This window comes from Homo sapiens, chromosome 15, assembly GCF_000001405.40.
Source record: "Homo sapiens chromosome 15, GRCh38.p14 Primary Assembly".
NCBI lineage: Eukaryota > Metazoa > Chordata > Mammalia > Primates > Hominidae > Homo > Homo sapiens.
In genome coordinates this window covers 96,407,992-96,420,313 of record NC_000015.10, presented here as the reverse complement: position 1 = coordinate 96,420,313, position 12,322 = coordinate 96,407,992, and the positions used below count along the sequence as shown (strand labels likewise).

At 46.6% G+C, this 12,322-nt stretch overlaps 3 annotated features.

Annotated features, from left to right (window-relative positions):
• Window positions 2,550-3,413: an enhancer, noted in NCBI's record as "H3K27ac-H3K4me1 hESC enhancer chr15:96960131-96960994 (GRCh37/hg19 assembly coordinates)". NCBI's record gives its function as "activates a minimal SCP1, AML or CMV promoter by ChIP-STARR-seq in naive H9 embryonic stem cells {active_cell/tissue: H9 hESC(naive)}" and the evidence as "EXISTENCE:reporter gene assay evidence [ECO:0000049][PMID:30033119]".
• Window positions 3,414-4,277: an enhancer, noted in NCBI's record as "H3K27ac-H3K4me1 hESC enhancer chr15:96959267-96960130 (GRCh37/hg19 assembly coordinates)". NCBI's record gives its function as "activates a minimal SCP1, AML or CMV promoter by ChIP-STARR-seq in naive H9 embryonic stem cells {active_cell/tissue: H9 hESC(naive)}" and the evidence as "EXISTENCE:reporter gene assay evidence [ECO:0000049][PMID:30033119]".
• Window positions 9,661-9,955: a silencer, noted in NCBI's record as "tiled region #9726; K562 Repressive non-DNase unmatched - State 20:ReprD". NCBI's record gives its function as "represses a minimal TATA promoter and a strong SV40 promoter by Sharpr-MPRA in K562 cells {active_cell/tissue: K562}" and the evidence as "EXISTENCE:reporter gene assay evidence [ECO:0000049][PMID:27701403]".

Sequence of the window (12,322 nt, the reverse complement as noted above, 5' to 3'; positions counted from 1 at the left end):
TAAACTTCAAAGAAGTTCATTGTATGTGTTTCTGTGTGTGAGCATGTATTAAATATGGTCAAAGTGTTTCCTTGAAAATAAGTAGAGCCCCACTAAATCAATTTGACTCTCCAGGAGACAACATAGGAAATTGTTTTCTGCTTTATTATGGGTAATGTACATAATATTCTATTAAATAAATCTTATAGTTGACGGCTTTAAAAGATTGATTTTCAATGCAAACCAATGATTTCTAATTTTTTTGGAAAATGATCACAAATAGATTCATGTGGTACCTCAAAACTTCTGTGATTAAAATGTGTAGATTTTGTACATCACAAATTGGCCTTTCACCTTGCTTGGTCTGCCTTAGTATCCCTGGCTGCCATTGAGTTACGGGTAAATATTATCCTTGCCAGCCTACCCTTTCTCTTTCTCTCTGAATATTGTATCTGTACTTGCTTTTGATTAATGGCTGGTTTCTCAGCAGAAAAGTACATCTTTCAGAGTTTTGTAATATTTTGAGCTTTGTCACCGAACACCATCTGAGGATAAATAGCAACATCTAGGGATAAAAAGAGTTGCTGTACATGATATTATCAGCAAAGAAGGCATACCATCAGAATCTCCCAAACTTCCCCTAAACAGGAGACAGTAAGAGAAAGGCTTCAGTGCCAGCACAAATAAGGGACATTTGATAAAAGAAGATGTTAACTGGAATGAGAAGTGTGCATCACATTTGGTTGATGTGTTTATCATCATTTTCAGGTACACAATCAAGCCAAAAGATACGCTTTGGTGAATGATAATGTTCGAGAATGAAGAAGAAAGTTTTAATGAGATCAATGTTGCCATCGTCTCCCAATGTTAACCTAAAAGCTGAAGACAAAAAAAAAAAAAAAAAAAAGAGCTGTTTTAGATGTGTTGGCTTATTTGGGGAGCAATTATGTACTTAACATCTTTTTTTAAATGCTGTGAATCTCCACCCTCCAGTGCAACATTATACACACATGCAATTAACCACCTTGGTAATGTCTTTCCCATCTGACCTAGAATGACAAAATAAGACTCTAATGGGCAAAGAGATACATACTGGTGCTAAGATTGCCTTTTTAGACTTCAGGAGTCTCTAAAAAACAAATGTAAAAACACCAAGCACAATAAATAGCATCTCTGTCACTGGAAATCAGCACAAGCTTGAAACTTCACTTTTGCACTCATAGAAAAAAAATATTGCTAGCCAGAATAATAGCAATCCAAGATGATGCAAAGAAAAATGTGTCCCAATTTTATCATAGCAAATAAATGTTTAAAACACACATTAGTTGGTACATAAACATGTGCTCTGTTGGTGTTAACAAAAAAAAAAAAAAGAAAGGAAGAAAACTGTCAAGGAGATGGTTCCCACCTTTTAGAAATCTCACAGGAAGTAATTATTCATTGTTTCTGCACTAAGTCATGCTAATTTCAGGTCACAACTTTCAGAACTGCTAGGATATGCCCAGACCATTGGGATTATTTATTTGAAAAGACACAAATATTATGAAAGTTTATTTTACACACTGAACAGCTTGTCACCTGGAAAAAAAAAAACTTTCCTCACCATGGGGTTGGGAGTGTGTAGGGGTAGTATAAACCCAGTTTGCTGCCAAAGGAATTTATGAACTAAATCCCAAGGCAACCTCAGGAGAGAGTCTGTAAAAAAGAATCATTTTGTCAGCCTTTCTACTGCTTCCACACCCCAAGCCTGCTATTGAAAGAGAGTGAAAGAGAAGAAAAGAGAAGCCCACCCTATTTGATATTGTCCCCACCACCCCCCTCTCCCAGTTAAGGAAATGTTGCTCCAGCCATAGATTTAGAATGAATCATCTGATCACACTTCTGGAAACTAGGGTAAATAAAGGTTGTGTGCCCTGTAATTATTAATTATACAGACTGAGCTATCTCCAGGGGCATTTAAAATATTTGGGGGTTGCAGGTGGAGAAAGGTTTCTTGGCAGTAGTTGTTCATTGAAATCTCTTACAGGATTTTTTTTTTAACCTAGTCTGTGATGCAGAACCCGCTGTGCTAAATTATGAACCAAAGGCTTTGGGGTGGGAACAATCAATCAAAATACCTGGGGTAGTGTGTAATGTGCATGCTCTTGTCAGCGTGAACAGGCTGCCCCTGAACACAGTCCCCCAGCAGGTTAAATAAATATGATACCATAGACAAACCGACAGGATCACACGGCTGCATCAATCAGCAGTTGATAAAATACAATCTTCCTTTAATACACGCTGAGAAAGTTATTTAACACTTACAAAACCTATATCCATTTCTTGTCCTTTTTTTTTTTTTTTTAAGTCTTCTTAGAAAGTGTAACTCTTTTAAAGGGCAAGGAAAAGAAGTTGCAAAACTGGCGGGGGTGCGGGGTGCTGATTTAATGGCGCCAAGGAAGGGTGAGGCGCAACTATTGAAGTAGGTGGGGGGAACAAATAACGGCGGTTGGGGGCGAGGGAACTGGCCCGAGGGTCGGTGAGAATGCAAACCACACCTGAAGCATTTCAACGGATCTTGAAACCCGTGGATACCTCGTTGGAACAATTCCTGCAGGGAAACCCCTGGTGTATTTCAATTCCGCTCTTAGTTCAGTTCATTTCAGCTCTGCAGTTTGCGTGCATCTGGAGCAGATGAGAAAACTATTCTGGATTAATTGGGGGAAAAATAACTGGGCAGGAAATAATTTAAAAGGGAGGACCCTCACAGGGCGCTTAAGAGAAAAGCGACCCCGTAGAGCTGGTGGTAAAAGGGAGATCTTCGATGACTTCCCACCGGTGAAACTTGGGGGTCAGGAACGAGAAAATAGGAAGACAATTGCCCTGAGTTAGCAGCGAGGATGTTTGCGCCCGTGTGCTTTGTGGCTTAAGAAAAGCTCCTCGCTATGATTGAGGACTCCACTTTCCCCGCTTGCAAACAGGCAAAAATGAAAGGCGTTGGTGCCAGGACCGTCTTGAGTGCTGGCCCAGGCAGAGCTTTTGACTTTAACCTTGCGCTCGCGCCTGGCGTCCGCGGCTCGCTCGCCTTGCCCCAGTTTAACCCCGGGCTCCTCTCCTCGGCAGTGCGGCTCCGCGCGCCTTTGCGAGGACCAGCTTGGGGGTGGCCGCGCGCTGGGGGAGGGCCTTGCACGTCGGGAGTGGGAGAGCCTGGTAAAGGCTGACAGACTATCTCTTAACAAGTGAAGATTAATGCCGCATCTAAAACTAAGCTCTCCTAAGTGCCGTCGGTGCAACATAAATACCGAGAGTGGGGAAAGGCGTCGCCTGCCACTCAAATAGTACGGCTCTCTCCCAGTCTGTTGAAATAACTCGCCGGGGCAGCTCGAGGTGTTGACGGCCACGTTTGTCAGCGCGTCGTGCCCTCCTCGGGGGCGACGAGAGCTCGGAACCGATCCAATCTGGGCGTCCCCTGCCCCAGTCAGCGCAGCTCCTCCCAGGTCTCCACGAGCCTCCGCTCCGGTTTCCCGAAGATCCACGCCGGGGCAGAGCTGGGCCCCGGGGTTTAGGGTTCGAGAGTCCGCGGATCACTGCAAATGGGCACCCCTCGCGTCGCAGGATCCCTCGGGGGGCCGGTGCCAAGTGGGCTCACATGGAGTCAGCTGGCGACCCCGGGACGCGGGCGGGTGGGGGTACCTGGCGCCAAATCCCGGCCTGATCCGCCCCCTCTGGCTCCTCCCAGGCGCCCTACCCAGCCCTACGCCCAAATCTGAGGCCCGTGGGACGGGCAAGGGGCGGGGAGGGATGGAGGTGAGAGTGGGAGGTAGTAATCTGGCTGCCCCGGTAGCGCTTTCAAGCCCCGAAATTCGCTTGGGGTTCGTTAACACACGCGCTTGGGGTGGTCCCCTCCCCCCGGGTACGAACCCTTCCTGCTGCAGCGGCGGCCCAGGCTTCCGTGACTTGGGGAGGCGCTGGAACCCTTGTAACCTTTTTGGAGACTTTGCGCTTTCGAGAGCTCTTTACCTGAAACTGACACCCGCAAGCACTCTCCGGGGTCCTGTTGGGCAGATGGAGTGGCAGGGCCAGGCGGGGCCTGTTGGCGAGACACGGGGACATTTGTCATGGGTGACCCGGCGCCTCGGCTTCTGAGCCCACGCCGGCGCGGGGAAGCCCGCGCTAATGTAATAAAGCGAGAGCGACAAGAGGAAAGGCCCCTCTTGCCCCGGGGCCGCCACATGCTCACTCCGTTTTACTGTCAGGGCTGGTCGAGGCTGTGGCTTCATTTCATATTCCATTAATATTTACAGCAGCTATTGAATTTCCCATTACAAAGTTCACCATACACACTGCTAATATGAAATTTTAATAGTATTGTGCACATTATGAAAAGTCCCACCATTAAGAGGGGCGGGGGAGGGTCCTAGGGAGAAGTGGCCCTGGGAAGTTACCCACGACTGAACACTCAAAACTCCCCGCAAGCAGCTGAATGTATTCTGCAACTATTACCATAAAGATGTGAGACAGTAGGTATTTTATCAATATTGAAATCAAAAGCAAGTGAGGAAATCAAGAGTGTAAAAAGCAGGCTGACTAAATTGAGTTTGCGAAGTTCTGGGTGTGTGAGACGCTTTGCCCACATGTATAGATGTTTCCGTTTTTCCACTTTACTAGTGAACAAGCAGAAGTATACAGGTTGTGTTGGGATGTGGCTGCAGTGGAGGCTGGAGGGCTGCCGGGACAGGCAGATGCGTGGCAGTGGTAAAGCCCCTGCCCTCTTCCCTCGGCATCCCTCTCCTTCCAGACCTCCACCCACCTCCAGCCTTGGGCCCCAGAAGTTCCCAAAGCTCCAGTCCTGAAGGTGACCCCAGGGAACAAATTCTGCCAAGAACTGTGAATCATCAATTTCTCCCTCTTTGGTGTTCAACTTTTCAGGACTGGCACCCTAAGGTCAGGTGGTGTTTCCAGGGGTAGGATTTTCCATGTGATGTGCAATCCTGCGGAGGGACTAACGCTCACTTGGATTGAAAAGGGGAGGAAGGACAGAGAGAGAATGTGGCCTGGACACTTAGAAGTGTTTGTCCACAAAGCCCAAGCCCAAAGCCTTGCTGCCTAAAGTGGCCCAGAGGTTGGCAAACCGAGGTGGAGTTAAATTTCTCTCTCCGTCCTTTCAAGGACTGTACAGTGAAGCCACAAGGTCAGGCGCTTGGCAACTTCCAGCTCCAAACGCACTTTGTGGCACAGAGGGGCAGCCGGGCATCATCCTCTGCTAGAGCTGGCAGGCGCGTCCATGGGCATGCCCACCTCCTAGTCCAGTTGGAAGCCAGCCTGGAGCCATTCCACAGCAGATGTCCGATTGCCACTGGCTCTCTGAGATGCATTGGGCCTTCCCACTTTACCTGTAAGGACATTCATCTTCCTGGGAGAGCCAACTAGTTCCCATGCCTCTGGCTTTTTGCAGGTAACCTTGCCCTAGAGTGGGTAGATAAAATAGAGGGAAAGCGCACGCATTTTGTTTGGGGGTAGGATATGCTGTAATTTCTCTAGTCTGCACCAAGCTTTCACATCGCCTGTCCACCCACCCTCACACCATCCCCTCCTCACACTCCTCAGGGTGTAAATTAATGACAGTACTTTGAGCACCACTGTGGTGTCTTAATAAGCTTCTATTTCCGCATTGAGAGGGCAATTTCTGAATCTTTAGGTTACTTTCCTGCTAAAGGAAAATGACAGTGCCAGAAGGTAAAGATGGGTGACATTTCCATAGGAAGATCTGGTGTAGATTTTTTTTCTGGGTTTTAAAAAATATTACTATTATTATTATCACACCCCCCCATTTTCTTTGCATTTTTTTTTCATTGAAGCCCCTAAATGTGTCATGCTTTGTCACATCCTCTGTGTGTGTTTTTAGAGAGCATTTGAATAAAAGGCTCGATGCCAGGTATTGGTGACACAGGGGGTGGAATTTTCAGCCGTTCCACAAAGAGTTGGCCGCCTCTATTTGCATAAGGTCAGAGTAGTGCTTCTGATAGAACTTTACCAGCATCTCTGTCTCTTAGCAACACTCTTGCACTCTTGGTCCCTGCATTAAATTGACTGGTCCCTTCCTTTTCTTCCTTTCATTGGGAGGCTTACAATAAAATGTCACCCTTCCAACCTGTGCCTGTCACCCAGTAGGTCATCTGTATCTCCCCCTTCCCCCTCCCCTTTCCTCCCCTCCTCCTCCCTTTTCTCTCCAGCTCCAATTAGACGATGAGATTATTCATTTGGTGGATTCCCAAAACAGTTTCATTTTATTGTGTTAATTAATATTAATACCATTTCTCTCTTTGTTATTAATAAAAAGCTATCATAAACACAGGCGCGATAAGGAGCAAATTGCCAGCACCTACCAAACAATGGGCCTGGAGAGGGGTAATAAGGAGAGTGGAGATAGAGAGAGCAGGGTTTAGGTCAGGCTTCCCACCCATTTAGTTGACGCGGGGTTGAGCGCAGCATCGAAGCCCCTGGAAGGGAAGCACGCTTGGAATATGCCAGGCAGCCCTCTTGGCTCTGGGATGGGAAACAGTGACAGGATCCAGATGCTGATAGGTGGTGTTAATGGAGGGTCACGTTTGGACAATAGTATCCATCACTTGCCTCCTGGCTCTTCTGTCAGATGGAGTCATTTCTTACTACGCTATCACTCAGATTTTGGATAGATTCAATTATTACCTTCACCTTGGCAACAGGATATACAAATCTATGCCCAAATGACTAAGTAATAATAATAGTATTTTTTTTTTTACTGCACTTCTCCTCTTGTTCATTTTAAAGAAAAAATCCCTAAGGGTTCAATAGCTTTTTTCCTATTTTATTCTGAAAACATCTGCCCAGTTACTCAACCCCACAGGATAATGGCTGCTTAATTAGCACAAATGTTTGTCTGAATGCCTGAATGATTATTGCTGATTTTTATAATCTTACCAATGGCCCAAATTAAGTAGTCTGTGTATGTTTTCTAAAGTTTTGGAAGACTCTAACTTACAAAGGGTCTGTGTGCTGTCTTTATGGGGTTTTTTTTCCCTTTTGAGAAGTGTTTGCAACTGAGTGAAAACAAGAATGGTATTAAAAAGGAAGGGGAGGAAGAGGAGAAGAGCTTATTATATTACCTTTGTTCATAAAGTTAAGAATTAATTTAAATCAAGTTAAAGATTTTAAAAAATTAAGACACTGAGAAGTTCTGCCTGAAGGAAGTGAGAATCAGAGAGATGCAGGGGTGGTGTTGAATGTGCTTTGAATTCCGTCTCTGCTTTCTTCCTGGACAGAGAAACCAACCTCCTTCTTTAGAGGAGTGGTTTGTTTTCTATAACATATTACTCATCCCCTTGAGTAGTGCAAATGGTAAGGTAAAGCATCCTGCCTTTCCCTGATATTTTCACAAAGCCCTCACTCTGCTTTCTACTCTCTTCTTCCTACCCTGCATGCCCTGTAATTCTTGCAGTGTATTGCCAGATAAATTTGCAGGTAATGGGGTCTGAGAAAAGCAACCAGGGTTAAAAGTCAACTAGCTCCTCTTTAATAATTCACGTGTCATATTTCTTCCACTATGTCAAGTTTGGTAAAGAAGATGGACAGGGGCTGATGGGCGGCCACTTGACTTTATTATTCTAAGCCTCAGAAGGGAGGAAAACTGTAAAAAGAGATGCCCCCACTCTTCTTACAAAGGGGCGAAAGCAGCCCAAACCTTCCTCAGAGTGCCTGGTCCTCTCTGCCTCACTTTGCAGTTCCAGCACTCCTCCAAGATGCCAGGAAGATTTGCAAAGATGGGGGTGCGAAAAATATTCCTGGGAACTTTTCCTATTTTGAAGCTCCCCACCTTACAAATTTGTCCTCTTTCCTCCTTACCAGTATCTTCATTCTTATACATTACCAAGTGACAATTCTGTTCATATTTTTTTGCCACAATATGTAAGTTGCTAGGGCAGCTTCACCCACAGACAATGGCTCTTATTTTTACTTTCTTATAGATGACCTTTCTTCTTTTTACAACTGCTTTTTTTTTTTTTTTGGCAGCATTGCTGGTGACAGTTTCACATTCCTCTGACTTAAATCTCTCTATTCTCTTTCTTTTTGCGAGGGTGTGGGGGCAAGTTTGAGATGTGTGGGTGGTTTTTTTTTTTTTTTTTTTTTGGGTTGTTGGAGTTTTGTTTTTTTTTTTCTTTTACTTTCAATAATTTGCTGTTTCCAGGGAGGGGGAGAGACACGGTATGCATAGACAAGACAAGAACATGTGAAACCAAGGAAGTTTTAAGCATATTTGAGCTTGATTTTGGAGTATGAATTGATATATAATCAGATTCCAGAAAGGAAGACAGAAGACAAAGAGAAATAAAGACTGAGTCTTACCTGTTCAGATTTTGCCCAAATGTAGAAAGGAGCATTTTGCTCCATCCAGTTTGCATTTCACTATTGCTCAGGTTGTCCCACCAGAATTTTAAGGATCCCAATTTACACAGATCAAGCCCAGGGAGGTGATTTCGTTTACAATTTCTCCCTCCCCATCTCTTCAAGAGCAAAATATTAGATGAAGGTGTTCTATCGTGAGAATTAAAACCTTTCCATGTGTTACTTATTTAATGAAAAAAAAATCCTATAGTTTTGCAAACCTGCTTCCTGATTACTGGCCCATGGATAGCCATTTGAAGAACAACTATTTTCCTTTTCTCCTCTCTTTTTCTTTAGTTCTGAAGAACGTTAAAACAAAATAACACAAATCAGTCGTTCGGGAAATATAGTTTTATCTTCAAGTATAATTATCACTAGTGGCACATGACAGAAAAATAAATAGTATCTCTCATTCCATTCATTCTGTGACTACAATGCTATAAAATATCTTTTCTGTTTTTTTTTTTTTTCTGGGGGGCTTTTCCACTCAGCTTCATGGCTTTTAAATTTAAGCTAAGTTTTTGCAGCAGTTGCTCTGCTCAGGATGATAAGGGCTTGCTTTTCGGGCTCAGTTGTTTTAATATCAACCTTCTCCAGCTCCTGCCACAAATTCGAGCTGGAGGTCTGTTTATATGTCTGATATAAGTTGCTGGGGGGAGGTGTCACGGAGAGTTCCAGAGGGAGAGCAAATAATTAAGGTTTATAAAAATCAGGCACACTTTGACAGGAAGAGAATAAATAGTTCTGAAAGAAATTCATAGTAAAAGATTGGGTCAGGGTTGGGAAAACAAATTTGTAGTGATTCTGGTCTGTAGCACAGTTGGAGGAGGGGCTGAAGTGCGTCCAAGATCACCACTCCAAGAAACAGCCTATTTGAAACAGCTGTTTAAAACTTTTCCTGATTGTTACCTTTAAACCGATTAAACCAGCAGGCAAGTGCTTGAGCAATTTTTCAAACTCGGGCAACACCCAGTCCTCCTTCAGCGAATTCCTGATGAACACTAGCTAGGTATTTGCAATGTATCCACTCTTTCTCCCTCTTCAATGGTAGAGTTAGACAAGGTTGTTCACACTTTATTTGCATAAATTTTTTAAGGTGGGGAGGAAAGAGAACATGCAGTTTATTTTCAAGCACTTTGCCATAATGTGCTATGTAACTGGCAGAAGTTTCTGGCTTTGATTGAGCTCAAATCTTTCAAGAAAACGAACTTTGTAAGGAAGTTTGTTTGTGAAACTCCTAACCATGTCTTCTCTAGATTAGGGCGATGGAAGGGAATTGGGATACACGCATCACCCCTTTGGGAATACAAGATTGCTTCCACACCCCCTTCCTCCTGCATTTCTCCGGATAATTGCCCTCCCTCCCCTCACTAAGTTGCCATCCTCAGGCCGACCTGGATCCTGCAAGCCCCGCTGCCAGTTGGGATGCTGCTCTGTGTTCTTTTGGGGGTTCTTCACCTCTCTTGAGCTCAGGGCAGGGCAAGGCTCTGCAAGTCTAGGCACTCACGCAGACAGAACTATTTTCCACTGCGGATGGGGTGATGAAAGCATTTGAAAAGGTGCCGGGGAAGAGGATGTGTTCCCCACCCTGCAAGATCAGCTGGGTCAGAGGGACCCTGGGCGGAAAACGGTTAAGACTATTGCACTGACTTAGCAGAAATCCCAAGAGAAGCTTCTCCCACAAGGCAGAAAATATAAGTCTTTGGCGGGATTTCATTTTTTAGATGAGAGGAGGGACATTCGGAGAAAAACCAAAACTAGTAAAAAATAAAATTTAAAAACTAAAAATAAAAAAATCCTCTAATGGAAGAGCGCAGGAGGCAAGACCTAGAGTACATGCAATCCCATTCTCATATTGATCCGGAAAGACCCGGAGGCTGGGAGGGAGCGCAGTGTAGACTTCCCGCCTGGAACTAAAACACAAAGTAGCAAATTTGAGCAGAGGGAGTTGGCGCTGATTTTCTGGGACGATCTGCCGCTGTCCTGACTTAGGACTTTCGGAAGAGGAGGCGGGGTCGGCTCCGGGCCGCGCGGGGCTGGTGGGCGGCGCGGCGGGGGCACCCCGCGGCCTCCCCAGGCCGGGTTCTCTCCCCGACCCGGCGCCGTGCGGTGCGGCTCCCACCCGGCCGATCCCGCAGATCCCGTCTGGAGTCCTGCTAACACCTGTCATTTGAAGCCGTGTTCGCTCTGTCTTGCAAACATCTCGAGCATTTTTGATTCCGCTCGCCGCTCCTTCTTACTGAGTTGTCCGCGTCTCTCTGCAACTTGTCATAACCCATAATAAAATGCCTTTTCCGTCGGGAGTTGAAGTCCAGAGGGCGGCGGTTCTCTTTTCAACTGACAGCCGAGCAAAGGAGCCGCGGCGGCCTCCCTTTTGTCTGCCTCGGGGTTTAACTCCTGTGGGACCGGCAGTGCAGATCGCGCCCCGCGCCGGCGGCCGGTTCCCGGGTCCGGGGTCGGGGGAAGCCGCCACCCTAAAGACCACCCCGTCCCCAGCTCCCCGGCCCTGCCCCGCCGGGATTACTGCGGTCCGGGGCGCGGTTGCGGGAGAAAGTTCTGGGCCTCTGGGGCTGCGTACACACGTGCTGCTCAGGCGCGTTCCTCAAAACGAGAGGCGCCTATTTGCACTTGTCCTTTTTCTTCTTCTTCTTTTTTAATTGGAGGGGGGCCTGACCGAGAGCAACACAAGGGATAAGTGAAATAGAAGACTGATACCAAGGTCACGTCAGCCGGCATCCCGGCGGCTTTTCACTGGGCTGGTGATGTAACTGGTTCAAACCATTTTCCTAATTAGCCAAACCCATCCTATTATTATTTTCATAAACCTGGAACTGAAACATGAAGATCTGTTGGAGTTTTTCTGTCCCACGTGTGCACGTGAAGGGCTAACTCAGATGACTAATCAGATGGCCCGGGTTGGGGAGCGCGCAAATGCGGGTTTCATTATCTCTCCCCAACCCTTGCAAAGGGATCCCGAGCTCCAGGGTGTCCCACGGACCACGTGGCCCAGGTGCGCAGTCCTCAGCATGGCCAAGTGCCCCTGAGCTGGACGTCTGGCTTGGCCTCCTCCTGACCGAGAGGTTCCTCGGTACCCAGGGACACCCTGGGTACCTCGCCACCATTACCTATTTAGAAGTTCCCCACCCCCACTTTCTTCTTACCTGACCACCCACAGAGAAGTCGCCTTAGAATACCCTAAGGTCGCCAGTGGGAGCCTGCGAGTCTCCCAGGCTTTTTTCATTTGTCAACAGTTTGTGACAGAGAAGCCATGGCTTTGATGTCACCCGATATTAGGGAGTAGGCGGGTAGGACGTGGGTAGGAATAAGGAGGCAGGCTCCTGGGAGAGGGGAACCAACGCTGAACCCCGGCAGCTGCCTTCCTGGAGCCTTATTTTGTCCTTAGTTTATTTAAAGAAGGAGGTGGGGCCAGGCGCGGTGGCTCACGCCTGTTATCCCAGCTCTTTGGGAGGCCGGGGCAAGTGGATCACCTGAGGTCAGGAGTTCGAGACCAGCCTGACCAACATGGTGAAACCCTGTCTTTACTAAAAATACAAAAATTAGCCGGGCGTGGTTTCGTGCGCCTGTAATCCCAGCTACTTGGGAGGCTGAGGCAGGAGAATCGCTTGAACCCGAGAGGTGGAGGTTGCAGTGAGCTGAGATGGCACAATTGCACTCCAGCCTGGGCAACAGAGCATGACTCCATCTCAAAAAAAAAAAAATAAATAAAAATAAGAATAAAGAAGGAGGTGGGGCAGCCTCTGATGGAGATAGTGTCAGAGTGCCTCCTCCCTGACGCTTAAGGCCTCACATCCATCCCGGGAACTCCTCTTGGGGGGTTCCAAAACGAGGAGGGAGGCTAGGAGATTGTTCTCATTCAGCCAGCCATTGAAACGGAAACAGCCTATCCTGGCCTGGCTTCATGGCCCGCCACCCTCCCTTCTCA